The 18,876-nt window shown below is 54.2% G+C and overlaps 1 protein-coding gene across 4 annotated transcripts in view, besides 2 other annotated features; it reads left to right on the top strand.

Annotated features, from left to right (window-relative positions):
* The window catches only part of LRP8 (LDL receptor related protein 8), an 85,707-nt gene that overhangs the window by 38,347 nt on the left and 28,484 nt on the right, over window positions 1-18,876 (top strand). For 2 of the 4 annotated variants that reach the window (NM_001018054.3, NM_004631.5), the window contains exons 3-8: window positions 35-157; window positions 9,009-9,137; window positions 12,646-13,032; window positions 13,971-14,093; window positions 18,378-18,497; window positions 18,571-18,696. In NM_001018054.3, coding sequence (NP_001018064.1) covers window positions 35-157; window positions 9,009-9,137; window positions 12,646-13,032; window positions 13,971-14,093; window positions 18,378-18,497; window positions 18,571-18,696 — 1,008 coding nt within the window. The remainder of the gene's footprint in view (window positions 1-34; window positions 158-9,008; window positions 9,138-12,645; window positions 13,033-13,970; window positions 14,094-18,377; window positions 18,498-18,570; window positions 18,697-18,876) is intronic. The other 2 variants (NM_017522.5, NM_033300.4) reach the window with 2 other exon arrangements.
* Window positions 11,277-11,336: an enhancer, noted in NCBI's record as "active region_1044". NCBI's record gives its function as "activates an Ori minimal core promoter by ATAC-STARR-seq in GM12878 lymphoblastoid cells {active_cell/tissue: GM12878}" and the evidence as "EXISTENCE:reporter gene assay evidence [ECO:0000049][PMID:35858748]".
* Window positions 18,248-18,748: an enhancer, noted in NCBI's record as "H3K4me1 hESC enhancer chr1:53736648-53737148 (GRCh37/hg19 assembly coordinates)". NCBI's record gives its function as "activates a minimal SCP1, AML or CMV promoter by ChIP-STARR-seq in primed H9 embryonic stem cells {active_cell/tissue: H9 hESC(primed)}" and the evidence as "EXISTENCE:reporter gene assay evidence [ECO:0000049][PMID:30033119]".

The following is an 18,876-nucleotide window of genomic DNA, read 5'->3' as shown; positions in this document are numbered from 1 at the left end:
CCAGGCTCACCACGCTCTCTTCCTTGCCCTGCAGCCAAGAAGACCTGTGCAGACAGTGACTTCACCTGTGACAACGGCCACTGCATCCACGAACGGTGGAAGTGTGACGGCGAGGAGGAGTGTCCTGATGGCTCCGATGAGTCCGAGGCCACTTGCAGTGAGTCCTGCCCCTCAGTCTGGGTGGGGGTGGGCCTCAGTTTCCTCCTCAGATCTTCCTTGAGAGGCTGTGAGGCTCAGGAGAGGTAACCAGTTGAACATTCTGTGCCACGCACTCAGGGCGCTCCTGGTAAACAGATATATTTAGTTGCTGGTTTCTACTGACCTGTTTCTGGACTTTCTTCACAGCCCTCTTGTAGGTTGGACCCTGTTTCTGTGGCAGCAGGAGCTAGAAACAGCCCTGTCAAGCCCTTCTGCCCAGAAGGAGCCCTAGCGTGTCCTCCAGGCCTCCCTGCTGCTGTTCTTGAGGACCCCGACCATAATTCCAGGAGTGCCAGTGGCAGCTGGTGCTTCTTAAGCCTTTATCGTGTGCTAAGCTCTCTGTGTGCATTAATGCCTTTGATAACCACAGCAGCCTCATGAAGCAGATACTGTCATTTTCTGAGTTTTGTAACGGAGAACACTGAAGCTCAAAGAGGTTGAGTGACTTGCCCAAGGCTACCCAGCCAAGACTTTGAGGCTCTGGCCCGTTCCTCTACCCTGGGTGGGCTGAGCCTAGGAGCTCCTGCCTCCATGGCCAGCTGGGTGGTAGCAGAGGCAGGCAGGGGGAGGTAGAGGCCAGAGCTGAGCCCCAGGCCTGCCCCCTACACTCAGGGCTTTGTCTCTCCATGATTTATTTTCCAGGCCCTAATCCTCAAAGCAAACTTACACCCGGCAGGTCATTCTGTGACATTTGTTAAATTAAAAAGGAGATGAGAAGGGGGCGGGGAAGGACCCAGCAGTCCAGAGGCAGAGCTTCAGCAGCGTGAGCCCGAGACAAAAGGCTCAGGCAAAAGCATGTGGAGGATAGTGGGGCTGGCGGGGACCCAGGAGCCCCTGTTTAGGGGTAACAGTCGTCCCAGAGGCAGAGGTGGGGACAATGGAGACCGGAGTCCCATCTAACGCCGTGGCTGGTGATAACTGGGTTTCCTTGTCTCCTAGCAACAGAGCTACCAGTCTCCACATAAGAGAAAGAGAAAGGGAGAGAGAGAGAACAGAGCAAGAGCGGCCCCCACCCGAGACAAGGAGCCCTCATTTCCTCGTACAGCTGCTCCTGGCCTCCCCAGCCATGCCGCAGGCCCCATCCTTTCCTTACCCACCACGTGGCCAAACTCCATGCCGTCCTGAAGGCTCCCAGGCAGGAGGGAAGCCCAGTGCTTTGTCCTGAGCTTCAGAAGGAACAAAGCCCTGCCACGCCCACTTGTGACTTTCATCCTCTTGGCAACCTAAGGAAGGAGGAGGATCCCCATGTAGAGAGAAAGAAACTGAGGCTGGAGTCAGTTCTCCCCCTTGCCCAAGGCTGCCCAGCTAACAAGAGGCAGAGTCGTGTGCAGCCTGGAGTGTGTGCTTGGGGAGGGTTTGTGGCCACAGGGAGCTTTTCCCTCACTGCAGTCAGCCAGCTCCTCCATCCGTACCTCACTCCAGCAGATACTCCGACAATGGGGGCAGAAAGGGAAGGGAGAGGAGCCTCATCGTGGTTATCAGAGGGGGCTGCCTTGCTACCTGAGGGCTAGGCTCCCCTTCTCCCCCTGCCCCACCCCCACCCCCGTCTCTATCTCTTTGTGTGGATGTCCCTTTTCATCTTCCATTCTGTCCCCTTCGGGGTCCCGCCCACCCCTGCCCTCTTGGGCTGCCTCCCTTCCCTGCTCATCTCCTATCCTCACCCTCCCTCTCACCATCTCTTCTCACTGCCCTACTCATGTGTCCCTCTGTCTTTTTCCCTCTTGCCCATCCCAGCACCTGCTGCCTTCCCATCCCCTGGGCTGGGCAGGGGCCCTCCTGCCTCATTCCTCCTGCCTCCCAGGCCCGCTTTTCACAGTTGAGGGACAACAGGAGGCCCAGAGAAGTTGATAGACTTCCTTCAAAAACACACAGCTTATCCATGGCAGGTCTCCCTTTTATGAAAAAAGGCTCTTCGAGCTCTCTGAGGTTTCATAAGGCGTCTATGGGAGCAGTAGCCAAGGCAGCACCCCAGGAGACAGAAGCCCAGCTCTCCTGTGGGCTCTTCCAGCTACTCACTGTGAAGCCCTGCATATCTTCCCACCTCCCTCTGGGCCCTGATCAGTAACACTCCGGAATTCCAGAATCTTCTCCATTCCTAGATTCCTAAACTCTTAGTATTCTGAGACCCCCTTTCCCCCTTGCTTGTGCTAGCTGGGGTGCAAGAGCCATGATACCCACTTCCTGTGTTACATTGGTCGGTGTAGGCAAGGCGGAAGACTGCCTGGAGGAAGTTGGCTAGAGTGGGAGCTCTGGTCAGGGTCAGGCAGAATTTGGGGCAGCAGGACCTGATAGCAGGCTTGCTCACTGCTTCCCAACTGAATGAGAACCTAGCAGCCAACCTGCTATCCATTTAATTGGTGTTGCCATAGCAACCTCCACGGCCCACCAGGTTCCTGGGGCTATGCCAGCTCCCAGGATGGAGCCCCATTCCCTACCCCTAAAAGAAAGATTATAGGCAGTAAAGTGTAGTGAGTTTGGGATTGGATATAGTTGGGTTCAGGTCTTTTAACCTGTTAGACCTCGGGCAAGCTGCCCAGTCATCCTGAACCTCAGTTTACTCATCTGTAAAATGTGGTAATGGTACCTGCCTTAGAGGGATTGTGAGAATCAAATGAAAGAATGCAAGTATCATCGCTGGAGTAAATGGCAGTGTTATTTGTATTATTATATTTTGGCTGCAAGCCCCCTCTCCCCAACACAACAGTGTGTTAGATATTAAGATGTTAGATTCTTACAGTGTTAAAATAGTGTCAGTGAAGGGAGTTGCATTGAGCGGGAAAGGGATTTGAGAGAAGGTCCCAATTCTTGTGTTTTCCCCGATTATGTTGTCTGTCCCTAGCTGGCTGGGGTTTCTCCCAGCTCTGTTTCCCTCTGGTTCTGTGTTCTGTACCTATCAAATGTAGCCAGGAGTCACAATGGAAAAGCCCAGAACATTTGCCTAATGGCAATAGCATTTCAGCTCTAATTATAGCTCACTTGATTGGGGACGGCTTCTGACCCACCTTCAGGCTTCTGTTGGGAGGGGTGAGGGTGGGGGAGGGGAGGATGGTTCAAGGTGAGTTATAGTTCTGGATGCTATTTATTTGAATATGGAGGCTTTTTCATGCATCTTAGAACCTTTCCACCTGGGAGGGGGGCCTCTCTGATTAACCAGGCTCATCTTGCTATTATAGATCAGAAAATGGAGGCCCAGAGATTTTCTGAGCTCACTCAGTAAGTTAGGGACTGACCCAGCTAGCAGCATTTTGCCTGGCCTTGACTGAAGGAACTTGGTGTAACTCCCCCTTCTGCACCTTGGGTGGCCCCATGCTGTGCTTCCTGTGGATTGAGTGACACTGGCAGTTCTCACCACCGGAGCCTCTGGTCCCTTAGAGCTGGCAGTCCCCATTTGGAGGTTATCTGCCCCTGAAACTCACGTGGGTTGACACTGTAGATGCGTTCCCTCAATGGGCAGCCGCCAAGTACTTTCATTCTTTAACAGACATTGCCCTTTTCGTTAATTTGTGAATTTATGAATTGGAGAAAGTACCAATGGATTTGAATTTCTGGGGCAGGATTCTCTGGGAATTTAAATGCCTTTAAATGCCGTGAGCCACTCCAGGATACAGAGTTTCATGAAAAGCCCCCTTGCCAGCTTTGGAGGGTTCCTGTTGTCTGAGAGACAGTGGGATTCTTCACTCCTGCCTCTCAGAACCTAGGGTACTTGGAGAGCAGGCCAAAGGCATATGGTCCCCTCCGGGGGCATCTGTCACAGAGGGAGTGGCTGTCCTGGGATGGGGTCTGCATCGCGGTGGACCATGTGGACTTATAATGTGCATTCCCCAGTGGTGACAACAGGCACGTCCCCAGCCATTGGCATTTGCACTTCATGAAATAAAACAAGGGCAAGTGTTTTCTGAGCTCCTAGTTTGTTCCAGGCTCTGAGTGTAGGGATTTCCATATGGTTCCCCTTTTAAGCCATCCACCAACCCTAGGAGATTATTCAACCCCATTTTCAGATGAGGGGAGCCAGAGTGCAGAGAGGTTCAGTAGTTGCCTAAGGACCTTAGTTTTAGTAAATGAAACTTGGATCCAGGTCTGTCTGACTCTAAAACCCAGGCTCTTTCTCCTACATCATGCTGCTGGGGGCCCTTGGGCTTCAGTTATCCTGAGAGTGGACATCAGATGGCCATCGTGCAGAACCTGCCCAAAGGCTCAGTGAGTCCCCTTCCTCCAGTGACCTCTCTCTGGGCCAGTGGTGCCAGGGAGACCAACAGGGTCTGCTTGATTCTCTTGTGCAGTGGTTAGGTGCAGTAAGTTAAGCACTGTGTTTGGACCTGGGATGGAAGTCCAGATCTGCCTCTCACCACTAGCCTTTGAACAAACAACTTACTCTTTCTGGGCTTTACTTTCTTCATTCATAAAATGGAGGTAAGAATATCCACTTCATAGGGTGATACCATGTGTCAGTCATTACCCAGACCAACTTCCCAGGACTGTGGAGTAGAGAGGCCTGACCTGGGACCCTGCGAGCCAGGCTCAAGTCCTACCTTTGGGGGAAAGCTACATCACAGGAGAGACAGTGAGGTTCCAGGAGAGACAGGAATTGGAATACCCAACTGCCAGTAGCTGTGTGACCCTAGGCAGGTCCCTTTTGCTCTCTGGGCCTTGGTCTCCTGCCACTCCAAGGGATGTTCATCAGTGTGACCTCTGAGATCTCTCAAGTCCTGGCATTCCAAGAGCCTTGGCTCTTTGAGGGTGGAGGGCTGTTATCAGGCACTGCTGAATCCTTGAGAACCTATAATTAGAGCTGTCTATTTAGGGACACAGCAAATGTCTTATTAATTATAAAGAAAGGAAGCAGACAGATTGTTTAATCATTGTCCTTGCTGAAAGGTTATGCAATTAACTATATAAATATTCATTAAAAGTTCAAGCAGCCGCTTGCTGCACTGGGGTCTGTAGAACCTGGAGGTCCACCCTGGAGGTGGAGCGTACAGCCAAGGGCCCTTTCTGTCACCTGGGCTTTTGTGAGGAGAGTTTGGGGATGGTTCTGGAGCATGCAGGATTTGATGGAAGGGCAAGGCTCTAGTCATAGGAACCCAGGCTCGGTCTCTCGCCTGCTGTGCATCTTTGGGCTAGTTACTTGGTCTCTCTGAGCCTCAGTTTCCTCATCTATAAAATGGAGTGCTTACGTGCAGGACTGCTGCCCTGCTGTAGTGCAGTAAGTGGCCCAGGTATGTAGTAAGTAAGTGGCCCAGGTATGTAGTAAGTAAGTGGCCCGGGTATGTAGTAAGTAAGTGGCCCGGGTATGTAGTAGGTAAGTGGCCCGGGTATGTAGTAGGTAAGTAAGCGGCCCGGGTATGTAGTAGGTAAGTAAGCGGCCCGGGTATGTAGTAGGTAAGTAAGCGGCCCGGGTATGTAGTAGGTAAGTAAGCGGCCCGGGTATGTAGTAGGTAAGTAAGCGGCCCGGGTATGTAGTAGGTAAGTAAGCGGCCCGGGTATGTAGTAGGTAAGTAAGCGGCCCGGGTATGTAGTAGGTAAGTAAGCGGCCCGGGTATGTAGTAGGTAAGTAAGCGGCCCGGGTATGTAGTAGGTAAGTAAGCGGCCCGGGTATGTAGTAGGTAAGTAAGCGGCCCGGGTATGTAGTAGGTAAGTAAGCGGCCCGGGTATGTAGTAGGTAAGTAAGCGGCCCGGGTATGTAGTAGGTAAGTAAGCGGCCCGGGTATGTAGTAGGTAAGTAAGCGGCCCGGGTATGTAGTAGGTAAGTAAGCGGCCCGGGTATGTAGTAGGTAAGGCCCGGGTATGTAGTAAGTAAGTGGCCCGGGTATGTAGTAAGTAAGTAAGTGGCCCGGGTATGTAGTAAGTAAGTGGCCCGGGTATGTAGTAAGTAAGTGGCCCGGGTATGTAGTAAGTAAGTAAGTGGCCCGGGTATGTAGTAAGTAAGTGGCCCGGGTATGTAGTAAGTAAGTGGCCCGGGTATGTAGTAAGTAAGTAAGTGGCCCGGGTATGTAGTAAGTAAGTGGCCCGGGTATGTAGTAAGTAAGTAAGTGGCCCGGGTATGTAGTAAGTAAGTGGCCCGGGTATGTAGTAAGTAAGTGGCCCGGGTATGTAGTAAGTAAGTGGCCCGGGTATGCCACTTATGTGATGACCTTTGTGAATGGCACCCCCGGAATTTGCACTGGCAGCCCGCAAGGCCTGCTTACCTTACAACAGACATTTGTTGCTCACAGTTCTGGAGGGTAGGAAGTCCAAGATCAAGGCACCGGCAGTTTCCGTGTCTGGTGAGGGCCCGTTCCTCATAGACTGCACCTCCTTGCTTCATCCTCACGTGGTGGAAGGGGCAAGGAGGCTCCCCCTGACCTCTTTTGTAAGAGTACTGATCTCATTAAAGAGAGCTGTACTGTTATGGCTTAATCACCTCCTAAAGGCCTCACCTCTTAATGCTATCACATTGAGGATTAAGTTCCAACATGGATTTTCAGGGGATACCAACGTTCAGACCATGGCAGAATGAAATGAAAAAATATAAAATTTTCAGCACAGAGCAGCCTGACACAACTTAGGTGTTCAAAAACTGGGACTCCCCTCCCCCTCCCTTGAGAGGTTCTGTTTCCTGAGGCCTGGCTTAGGGATAAGTAGTTGCTTTGACCTTCCATCCCATTGCTCTCTTAGGGGCTTGCAAGTGTATGGAACATCTGTATCACTTTTATCGTAGTGAATTGAAAAGAGATGAAACATCCCTTGTCTTCTATGCTTGCAGAATGTTAACCAACCCAGGGGTTCCCAAATAGAGGTGCATGGGAATCCCCTGGGTTTTGGTGGGGAGTTACTAAAATGCAGATCCCTAGGCTCTGCCCTAGAAGTCTAGATTCAGTCAGTATGAGCTGAGGCTCAGGAACCTGCACTTTGAGTAGCTCCCTCACCCCCCACCCTTTGATGAGAGGACCCCAGCAAAGCACTGGTCAGCTTCAGCTTCCTGTGTTCCAGTGGGGCCCAGAGGGGAGGTGCTTACCTGGGGTCCTGCAGTGTTGGTGATAGAGGTACCCTGGAAGGACCCCATCTCCCAACTCCCAGTTTCCCTTCACCACCCTGCACTGCAGCCCCAAGGTGGCCTTATATAAAAGGCCTTTGAGGGTTAGTACTTTCCAGAGCTCAACCTGACAGTTATTTGCTCATCCATCCCACAAGTCTGCCAATCCTCGAGCAAGGGAAATTTCTGTGAAATGAATACCAGGAATCCTGTATTCCCAAGGGATTGCCCTGTACTCATGAAATGCATTCCTAGGGATAACGTTGGGGACCTCACTTTCAGGGGCCTAAGATGCTCTTCTCCCATGGCAGTAGTGGTGTCCAGGGACCTTGACTCAGATACCTGCTCCCCTCCCCAACTCATCTGTGCCCTTTTCTGTATCCCTTGTGGTCTCTCATCCCAGCTATAGAAATGGGAAGAGGAGAAACTGGTCTGAGATCAGAGAGCAAAATGGAGGGCGAAGCATGAGTAGCCCACTGCCTCCGGGGAGAAATGGATTGTGCTGAGTCTCCGGCATCAGACACAGCTGACTTTCAGTCAATCCTAACACTGCTCTTTATCAGCTCTGTGACCAGAACTTAGTGCCTACCACCATGTTTGTCACACAGCAGTGCTCAAATACTCAGTGAATAAGCAAAATTCAGAGTCATCTGGTATGTGTGGATAATCATAGTAGGTAACATTTAGTGAGCACTGGGCTGGGTGTTCTTCTAGGTGCTTGCTTTACAGACATTAACTTAGTCATCATAACAATCCTATGAGAGATAGTATTATCCCCACTTTATTGGCACAGAGATAAGGATTGTTGGCCAAGGTCACATAGTCAGTGAGTGATTGAAGTAGGATTTGAACCCAGGCAGCCAGGCTCCAGAGCCCATGTTCTCCGCCTCTATGCTGGAGGCCAGCACATAATCCTCTCACCCTGCTGGCTTATTGTGAAAATTAGATGGAAGTGTCTAGCACCATGCCTGGCACATCCTAGAGACCACGGAGGTCGGGCCTCCTGCACACCCTGGAAGGCTGAAGGGAGCCAACCACGGAGGTCTGAGATGCATCTGCCTTGGCTGAGCCTGTCACATGGGTCCAGCAGAAACTCATGATAAGAGCTGTCCCCAGCCTTGAATAGGGTTCTCATTCTTCCTTCCAAATTGAGATTCAACCCTGGGGCTTCAGGCCCCTGATTGAGTCAGCCTCTGATTGCGGCTGCAGTAATTATAGCTATGCAGTCCCGCTGGGCCCTGCCATGCAGCAGCTGCTCTCAGCAGCAGGATCAGCACCATCACTCGGGGAGGGGGCTTAGAGGCGGGCCGATTGGAGCCGTTGGGGCCTTGGTGAGCCCTCCAAATTTACAGGTTCCAATCATGGAGTCACTGATCTGGAAGGCAAACTGAGGCCCAGCTGGGGCATATCTCACCTAAGGGCACACAGCTGGGAAATGGCAGAGAAGAGTGCAGGGCATGGTGGCTCCATGTTGCCAGAACTTAAAGTGGAGGTTTGGAGGGATGGGAGGTGTGGCCAGGAGGGGCAGGCAGAAGTCAATGGATCAAAGGGACTTGAGGGCCAGGGACCAGGGGGCCATGAAAGATGTTATGTAGAGAAGGGTCAGATTTAGGATTTGAAAATTCCTGGCACAGACAGAGGCTTCTTCTCAGCTGATGAAACTGAGACATGGGCCAGAAGAGCCCTGATGGACTCCTAGGGCCTTGGACCAGATGGCTGGAACAGGGTGGTAGGACTGGTTGGCACCATGCCCTGTGTCCCCCTTGGCTAAGCTATGCATGGACGTCTGTCTCCACAGCCAAGCAGGTGTGTCCTGCAGAGAAGCTGAGCTGTGGACCCACCAGCCACAAGTGTGTACCTGCCTCGTGGCGCTGCGACGGGGAGAAGGACTGCGAGGGTGGAGCGGATGAGGCCGGCTGTGCTACCTGTGAGTCTGGGGTCAGATCTCCAGGGTCTGCCAAGCATGGTCAGGCAGCCTCAGGGAGTGGCAGCCACTTCTGGGGAGGGGGCCCAGTTCCCCGTGGGGCTTGGTGGTGGAGAGGAAAGGATAACGATCAGGACACTAGTAATGGCTAGATTCTATGGAGACATGGTCTTCTTTCATCTTCACAAGCACCTCATGAGCAGCCATTATCATCCCCATTTTATAGGTGAGGAAACTGAGGCTCAGACAAGGGAGGAAAAGTACCCAAGGCTGAGTGATGAAACCAAGATTCAGATTCAGGACTGGACAGCAAAGCCCATGAGCTTTTGTTACCATGTCTGACATCTGCTCATCCATCCCACAAGTCTGCCAATCTTGGAGCAAGGGCAGGGGGACCAGGGAGGGTGCTGCGTGGAGAAATGGCGGTGGTCTGAGCCAGGGCGCCAGCAATGCTGGGGGGAGGGGGACGGATTCCTGAGGTGTCAAGGACGACTGTTGCTGAAATCTCAGATTCAAGCACAGACGTCACAGGGCAGAGAAGACATTCTCAGCAGCCTCGGCAGGGACAGATGGAAGTGGTCACTGGGACAGTTCCACATCACTGAGCTTCAAACACAGGATTATCTCCTTCCCAGGGAGCAGGCCAGCAGGGCCTGGGCCATTGGGGAGCATGGCCAGGCCTCACTTTTTCAATTCGAGGGGCACCTACTGTGTGCCAGGCCTGAAGCCAGGCTCTGAAAGGGACAGTGAGGTGAATCCTACACAGTCTTCCCTCTGGGAACACATGATTAGTGGGGGAGACAGACTGGCTGTCGCTACTAGGCTGTGCGGCTGGGCTGAAATACGGGCGGTCACCCTGGAGGGCTTGCCAGGCACTTGCCCATCACTGCTGCCTACTCCCCTCTGCCAGCCTCTATATTTGCATCCTATCCATCTTTCCTGGCCCAGGGAAAATGCCATCTCCTCCAGAGGTGTCTGAGTCGTCACACTTTAAGATTCTAAGTCTGGAATTTGATGTGTCTGAAGCAGGAAGCATCTGGGTATGGAGGGAGATCCTGGCTGGGAACAGCAGTTTCAAAGTCCCAGTGATGGCACTGGCTCACTTCCTCAGCTGTGATAATTTTGCTGGGACTCACTGGCCAATGAGAATCCTCTTTCCTCTTTACCAAGCCCCATAATCAGATGATTCCTCCAATATGAAGGCCGCTACTGCAAGGGATGGGAGTCTCTCCAACTAGGGCATGTTGGAATAGGAACATTCCCCATTAATTATGGGAGAGAGAGGTGTCAGAAGGTCTTACTGGGCTTCTATGCTATAGCTTCCACCCTCCTAGGCAGAGGAAAGAGTCCTCCCACCCCTCATCTCTCAGAGCTTCTTCCGTTTGTGAGTGCTAGGAGTAGGGTCTCTCGGCCTACGTAGGCCTGAGAATATGGATCTTAAAGTTACTGTTGGCTCCAAAACCTCAGAGAAAACTCAGTATGAAGAAGCACTTCCTTGCCATCCAAGTCTTCAAGTAAAATTAAAAATTAAGGCGGGGCGCGGTGGCTCATGCCTGTAATCCCAGCACTTTGGGAGGCCGAGGCAGGAGGATCACGAGGTCAGGAGATTGAGACCATCCTGGCTAACATGGTGAAACCCCACCTCTACTAAAAATACAAAAAAAAAAAAAAAAATTAGCCGGGCGTGGTGGCTACTCAGGAGGCTGAGGCAGGAGAATCACTGGAACGCAGGAGGTGGGGTTGCAGTGAGCTGAGAGCACACCACTGCTCTCCAGCCTGGGCGACAGAGCGAGACTCCATCTCAAAAAAGAAAATTAAAAAAAAAAAAAAAAAAGCACTTCCCATCAGAACTCCCAGAAAGCAGTGAGTCCACCCTCCCTGCACATGCACAAGTTGGGTGGGGACAGGCAGGAAGGGAGCTCATCTAGGTGTCAGCGTAATATTGAGGGGCAGTGGCAGTGGCAGCATGTGCTTTTTCCACCAATGCCCCAGTGTCTCAAAAGCCCAGGAGGGGAAAAAAATTCAACTGTCAGACACTTGGTAGAGCTGTCAGAAACGCATGACACGAGCTACCTACCTGGTGAAACTGAAGACATCACTCTATTTTATCTTCAATAACAATGAAAATTCACATTTTTCCATCAGAAAGTGAAAACACAGACTCTGGGCGCCCCCACGTGGAAAGATCTGGTGCTGCCACCACCACCTCACCTTTGGCCACAGCCACTGCATCAGTGCCCCACCGGGGCCTACCCCCATCCCGGGGCCAGGTCTTGGCCTGTGTGTGGACGCACAGGAGGGAGGGAAGTGAGGAGGTCACTGCCCTGAAAAACAGCTGGAAAAACTCCAGGAAGGGAGGAGAAAACCAGAAAAGCCAAGAGGAGGAGTCAGAGTAGGAAAGAAAAGCCCCAAATGTGAGTTCTGGTTCTCTTGTTGTCATGGACTGTGTGACCCTGGGCAAGCTGCTCCTCTCTCTGGGCCTCAGTTTCCCCATCTATAAACTGGCAATAGGGCTGGCTGGCCTCTAAGTTCCTCCCGGCCACTGAACTCAGACTAGCCTACCAGAGAGAAGCCCAGAGCCCCAAGCAGAGCCATGACGTGTGTCCTTAATTACTGCACATCCCATAATTATACCTCATACCTGGGCCAGACCAGTTCCATCCACTCCACACCCACTCACTACAGGGAGCTCTGTACCAGGCCCTCAGGACAAAGGAGGGACACCCCCAGGCAGTGTGGATTCTTGGGGCAGATTGAAAAGGACATGAAACTCAGACGCCTGCGCGACTGAGGGGCTCAGAAACGAGGGCAGAGGCAGAGATTTCCCAAGCGGGGAAACGCCAGGGTGTCATGGAAGAGGTGGAATTTGGGCCCTTGGAAGATGAGAGCTCATCATTGCAAAATGTAGTGGTGGGCAAGAAGTAGGTTCCCAGCAGATGGAGCAACTTGAGTAAAGGCTTGGAGGTGGGAGCCTGTGCACTGGGCCCAGCAAATGGTCTAGCATGGCGGGAGCTGCGAACATTCAGGAGTGAGGTGATGGAGCCACAGGACTGACCCAAGAGACGCCTTGGATACCAGGCCAGGGGACTCAGGTGGAACAGTGCAGGTTATGCTATGCATCGCTATGCTATGAGGAGCCAACCCCAGACCCTGGTCCCTGGGAAGGGTCAGTGTCATTTAACAGATCATGTCCTGGGACCATAGCAGGGTCCTTCAAGACAGGCAGTGCTCTAAGGTTTCGGAATCCCCCTCCTAGTCCCACCATGCTCATGCTCATTTACCCAGTGAGGCCTGGGGGGCTCACAAAGGGCAGGTGTGTTGCCAGTCACCTAGCATGTCCGTGTTGGAAGCCCGCCTTCGCTATGCCTAACTGCACGTCCACCATTCAGCCCCCAAAGGGCACTTGTTCTGGCCCCCGGGTGAGGGTCGGAGCCCCTGTAGCCGGACCAGCGGGGCCCCAGGTCGGCCGGGGAGGGGGTCGGCGGGCCGACCGGCTCTCTGTCCCGCGCAGTGTGCGCCCCGCACGAGTTCCAGTGCGGCAACCGCTCGTGCCTGGCCGCCGTGTTCGTGTGCGACGGCGACGACGACTGTGGTGACGGCAGCGATGAGCGCGGCTGTGCAGACCCGGCCTGCGGGCCCCGCGAGTTCCGCTGCGGCGGCGATGGCGGCGGCGCCTGCATCCCGGAGCGCTGGGTCTGCGACCGCCAGTTTGACTGCGAGGACCGCTCGGACGAGGCAGCCGAGCTCTGCGGCCGTCCGGGCCCCGGGGCCACGTCCGCGCCCGCCGCCTGCGCCACCGCCTCCCAGTTCGCCTGCCGCAGCGGCGAGTGCGTGCACCTGGGCTGGCGCTGCGACGGCGACCGCGACTGCAAAGACAAATCGGACGAGGCCGACTGCCGTAAGCCCCCTCCATACCGCCCAGCCCCGCCCAGGGATTGCGGATCCGCTATCCGATCCGGATCCGCCAGGTGCAGGCTTCCTTTCATTGCCTTACCTGAATACATTACCCGGGTTTACTACAGAGGAGACCGAGGCTGGGAGAAGTGAGGTGACTTATTTGAATTCACGCAGCTGCCGGGCTGCGGAGCTCAGGTCTAACTCCAGAAGCCTCCACTGGTATCTGTGTCCCTGCTGTGAGCCCTCCCAGTCGTACTTCCCACCCCCATCCCCCGAACCCCTCCACCCAGAAACCTGGCAGGCTCAGGAGCTCCCCCCATCTCTTTACCCGCTAGGCCTGCTCATTCCTCAAGGCCTGGCCTAGACTCCTCTGACCTTCCCAGCTGGGCTGGGTCCCTCTGCTGGGCAGGTCCCCAGCAGCTTTCTCTTATAGCTCATCTCACACTGATGTCCCCATCTGAGCATTCCTCACCCTTGCTCTGCACCCTGAGCTCCTAGAGGATGAGGAGGCTCTTAGGAGTCTCTGGGCTCCCACCCCCACCTCCACCTCTCCCAGCACAGCACCTGGCACAGGAAGGTTTGCCAAATGGATGAAGTCATTAAGTAATGAGCACCAAGACTCAAAAGAAGGCCGTGTGTCTGTTCTGAGGAGTGGCCCTGGAGAGAGGCAGGGACAGGGAAACAGGAGATCTGGGTTTAGTCCTGAATCTGCCAGCCAGAGTGCTGTGTGACCCTGGGCAAGGCCTTCCCCCTCTCTGAGCTTCAGTCTCCCCATCTGTACACTGAGGTGCCTTGGCCAGGTGTCCTTTGAGGACTCCTGAGTTCAGCCACTGGTTCTGTTTTTGCTGGGGGTGGCTATGGCATGGGGATTGGGGTGGTGGGGAAATTGTCCTAGCACCACACTGACTCTGATCCTCTCCCCTTGCCCTCTCCTGGCAGCACTGGGCACCTGCCGTGGGGACGAGTTCCAGTGTGGGGATGGGACATGTGTCCTTGCAATCAAGCACTGCAACCAGGAGCAGGACTGTCCAGATGGGAGTGATGAAGCTGGCTGCCTACAGGGTGCGTGTGGTCAGGGCACAGAACACATCCTCTGTGAGGATGCCCTAGGCTCTGGTAACTCTCCAGAGGGCAGAGTTGGGAGGAGTTTCCCCTTGGTCCCCAAGATGCATTTTCCCCCAGAGCATCACTTGCCCCTAAATCACCTGGCTCCCTTTCCATGGGGTCCTAGTAGCACCAGAACTGGATTTGTAAGGACTTTGCCAAAGCTGAAAGACACCTAGGGGGACATGACAGAGCACTTGGGAAGTCCAGCCCCCACCACTTGTCCAGGTCCCAGCTGGTGAGTGGCTTCCCTCACTAGTTCCCAGGCTGAGCAGAGGCTGAGTCTTGCTCCCCAGGGAGCCCCTTTAGTTCTCAGATGGTTCTTCTGGTCACCACCTGCCCTCTGCAGGAGCAGGGACCCTCATTCACTAGTCATCTTGGGGAATGGATAACAGGCTGGGCAGTGTAGCAACTTCCCCTATCCGGGGTCCATGGGGCAAAGTCCCCCCAGGAGATGATCAGTCCAGCCTCTAAGGTCTCTCTAGAGCTGCTGCCTGGTCCTCCTAGGACCTGAGTCCTGCAAGATGAGACGCAGATCCCCACAGCCCTGCCCAGCTACATGAGGCTTAGCCTCCTAATCATCCCTGGGATCCTGTCCTGTGAGCAGAGCTTCCTCAGTTCCTGGATTTACCTGTCTGTCCTGGGCCACCCTCCAGGGACCTGTGAGGGACTGGAACTGGAGCTCTGCTTGCCTCCTGTGGGCCCCAGCCCAGCCCTTCTTGTCCAAGGTCTCACAGGCACTGTCCACTCTCTTGTCCGGCCCAACAGAGTCACCCTGTGAGGGTCCCCGCAGATTTCAGTGTAAGAGTGGCAAGCGCGTGGACGGCGGGAAAGTGTGTGATGTGCAGAGGGACTGCCGGGACTGGTCGGATGAGCTTCTGAAAGTGTGGTGCGGTGCCTGTCTACGCCCACTGGCTGGACTCAGTCTCCTACCATCCCCCTCCTGGTATCTAGGCTCAAGGCCCTCCAGTGCCCCCTGCCCTGACACTTTCTGCTCTGACCCTCTCTTTGGATTCATGTGCCGTCCTATGGCTTCACATGGGGCTTTTCGCCCCCAGGCCTCTGGTCTACATCTCTACAAAGTGCTAAGAGCTTGTCCATCCCAGGTACTAAAAAATTATGTTTTCTCTCACAAACTTGGCCTTTCCTCATTCCTTCCCCGTTCAGACCTCTGAGACCTTCTGGAACTTTCTCTCTTCCTCGGTGTTCCTCCCCTGCTGACCCAGCCAAGGCCCTGGGCTCTGAGGTCTTCTAGCCCCTTGCAGAAGACCCAGCAGAGGGAGAAGTGGGCACAGCAGGCAGGCAGCCAGGTGAAGCACATCCCAGGGCCACTGCTCAGGCCATACCTGTGTGGGAGTAAGGCAGGCCTTGCAGCAGGAGGTGGCACCATCCTAAGCCCTGAGGAGTTCGGACCTGATGGGGAGACCAGACTTGGAGGCCAGACTAAAGCGAGACCTGGATGGAAGTGGCTGCCCTGATGTCGGCTACAGCTGTCAGGGTGGGTTCCAGGCTAGAAAGAACAGAGGCTCCAGGCTGTAGGTAGGGTGGGCATCCCAGAGAACATGCTAGAAACCCAGTGTGGACTCCAGGAAGGTTCATGAGTTTTTTTTTGTTTTTTGTTTTTACTGTTCCCAGGTTAGGGCTTGAGGGAGATTTGACAGAGAAGCCCTGGGAGGACAGAGGCTAGGTCAGTCCCTCCCTTTCCTGCCTTCTGGCAGACTGTTTCCCCAGCACCTACCTCCTGGGTGCTTAGAGGAGGTTCATCCTCCTGAGCTTCCCAGGAAGAGCATATTTCCTTCCCCTTTTGAAGATTAAAAAACTGATTGTGAAAGGAAGAGTAGTTGAGTGAAAGTGACTCAGCTTCTACCTGAGCTGGCAGGAGATAGACACTCCCTCTGCCTCCAGGCCCTGCCAAGAGAAGTCCCAGAAGAAGGAACTTGTGGAAAAAGAGACAGGGAAGCCAGAACTACTGAGCCTAGCTCCCCCAACACCCAGATTTGGAGTAGCCAGGGACTACTGTCCTACTAATCCCTCTCTTCTCTCTCGTCGTTTGCATGACACACCAAAGAGGAGTACGTACACACGTGCTTGTGTCTGTGTGTGGCCTCTGTCTCTGTGTTGGTGAGAGGCCGGTGTCTGTATCCATGTCTTCTTCTCTGAGTAAAGCAGGGGAACTGCATTCATGCATCTATGTGTGTGACCCCATGTATGTGTGAATGTATCTATGGAGTCCATGGGACTGTTTGTGCTCTGCACATAAGCTGGTATGTGTGCATGTAGTTGTGGGCATGCTGGTGTGTGCATGTAGGTGTGTGCAGTGACACCACTTCTTCCTTCCATGGAAGGAAGCCGCAAATACTACTCTGGCCTCTCTGCACCACTCTACCCCATCCCCCTCCTCTCCTGGCTCCCCAGCGGAATCACACCCAGGCTAGGTAGAATTAAGAAGGACTGAAGACTTCCCTGCAGGCATTTGGGGAAAGGTTACAGGGACAGACAGGTGCAGACCTGCTCTCCTTTCTCTTCCCCTCACCCACCTGAGCCCTGGAGGACTCTGTGCCTTCCTTCATCAGAAGCCAGTCACTTTGAGTTCTCTCCTTTCCCCTTCCCCCTTTCAGGGCCATCCCACCTACACATGCCACTTCATCAAGTGCTCAGTAAATAGAATTGTTGAGTTGTTGCTAGCTGCAAAAGGAGAGGAAGGAGGCGAGTGGATGCATGATGGGGGCAGTGGGTGAGTGGGAGGACAGATGAATGAACGGTGCTCAGGGAATAACACAGGAAAGGAGAGGTCAGGGAGGGCTCCGAGCGACTGAAAGATTCCTAGAGGTGGGAGCTGCCGTGGCTCAGCCCACCTCCAAGGGTCTGAGGCTTCCCAGGGCTGGGCCTGGCTGAGTCATCCCTGGGTCCCCCAGTCATGGAGTTGCTGTGGTCTTGTTCTTTCAGTTCCGCCAACATTCCTGGGAAACAGGAGGAGGCCCAGGGGTAAAGGGGTTATTCCCTAAGCATGGCTCAGGCTGGAAGTGGGGGCACCCCATAGCTGTGCATGGCCTGGGGTGGGCAGCTCAGACCAGCTATATGCATGGCCATGGCTGGCTCAGCTCAGCACTGCTTGGCTTGGCTGGAGTGGCAGTGCATGAGCCTGGGGGGCAGAGGGGGAGAGGGGCGCGGCACCTCTCCTTGGCTTGTGGAATTAACCTTCTGTGACTCTAAAGCTCAGGAGAGGCTGTAAGAGCATTGGTCCTGGATTCCCTGACCTCCCCTAAGACCCTGCCAGAAGGTAGTGAGGGAGTGGAGGATGGGGAACCAGAACCAGATGACCTCTGGGCATCCCTTCACCTCTTGCAGCAGGTGGTAATCCTGGAACCGGGCCCATGACAAGATAGGAGGAACAGGGACAGGTGCTGAGAGGAGAGGAGTTAAAAAACCCATCATATTAGTTCATGATAGGAGAGAATTGATTTAGCAATGGCTCCATGTTAAAAAAGGCCCAGGAGTCTTAAATAACCACAAGCACATTAGGGGGGGCATCCTGTGTTGTTCAGGTTCCTTCTGGGTGGCAAACTAGCTCTGGGCCCTGTCCAGACAGGGACATGGACAGATGGAGTGAGTCCAGAGAAAGGCACCCAAATGGCAGGAGACCAGATATCAGTGCTTTAAGGGAGCCTGTGCACCCTGGCCAACCCCACACAGCAGAGCTGGGAGCACAAGCAGAAGCCTCAGCAGGCAGTGCTGGTCCACAGTGGAGCCAGCTGCCCCAGGAGGGAAGTGGGCTCCCTGAGGCTGGAGATATTTAAGCAGGGGCATTTTGGAAGGGATTCTTAGGGTATCCTGAGGGTTGGATGTGACACACACAGGACCCTTCAACTCTGAGGTCACGAGGAAGGAGGCGCTGTGAGAAACATGTTTGTGAAAGGAAAGACCTTGGGCCACTGGGGAAGGCCTAGCTGCCTCCAGCTTGGTGGTGGACAGAGCCCCAGCCGGGAGGCCGGGGACCTAAGTTCTGGTTCCACTCTACCCTGTCTCTGTGTCTGGCCTGGAGTAGGAACCTGCCCTCTCTGTGCCGCCTGCTGCCCAGAACACCTGGTAGATGAGGCTGAGGCTCAGTGAGGTTGTGGAGCCCTCCTGCCTCTATGGGAGTCCCACTGCCCTGAGGCTCTGCTTCTGCTCTAGGTCCTACCCCTGCCCTGCCCCCACTCCTCCTGGGCTCCTGGACCTTCAGGAGCCCATGTCCCTCCCCAGGGCTGAACGAGTGTCTGCACAACAATGGCGGCTGCTCACACATCTGCACTGACCTCAAGATTGGCTTTGAATGCACGTGCCCAGCAGGCTTCCAGCTCCTGGACCAGAAGACCTGTGGCGGTGAGACCTTCTCCCACACCCCCAAGCAGAAGCAGATCCTCCTGCTGGTTCTGACTCCTGCTCCTCCCCACAGACATTGATGAGTGCAAGGACCCAGATGCCTGCAGCCAGATCTGTGTCAATTACAAGGGCTATTTTAAGTGTGAGTGCTACCCTGGCTACGAGATGGACCTACTGACCAAGAACTGCAAGGCTGCTGGTATGAACACCCCAAGGGCAGAGGGGCAGCTCTGAAAGGCATACAGGAAGCAGCGTGCTTCCACTTGTGAGGAGTGGGCGTGTACATGTGCGCACACACAAGAAGGCAGGTTGTGTTACTGAGAGGTACGGGAATCCTCGGTCCCTTGTCTAGCTTGGGAGAAAGAATTCAGCCAAGAGA

This window comes from Homo sapiens, chromosome 1 (genome assembly GCF_000001405.40).
Source record: "Homo sapiens chromosome 1, GRCh38.p14 Primary Assembly".
Taxonomy (NCBI): Eukaryota; Metazoa; Chordata; class Mammalia; order Primates; family Hominidae; genus Homo; species Homo sapiens.
Note: the sequence above shows the minus strand (reverse complement) of the source record. Positions and strands in the feature narration are given on the sequence as shown.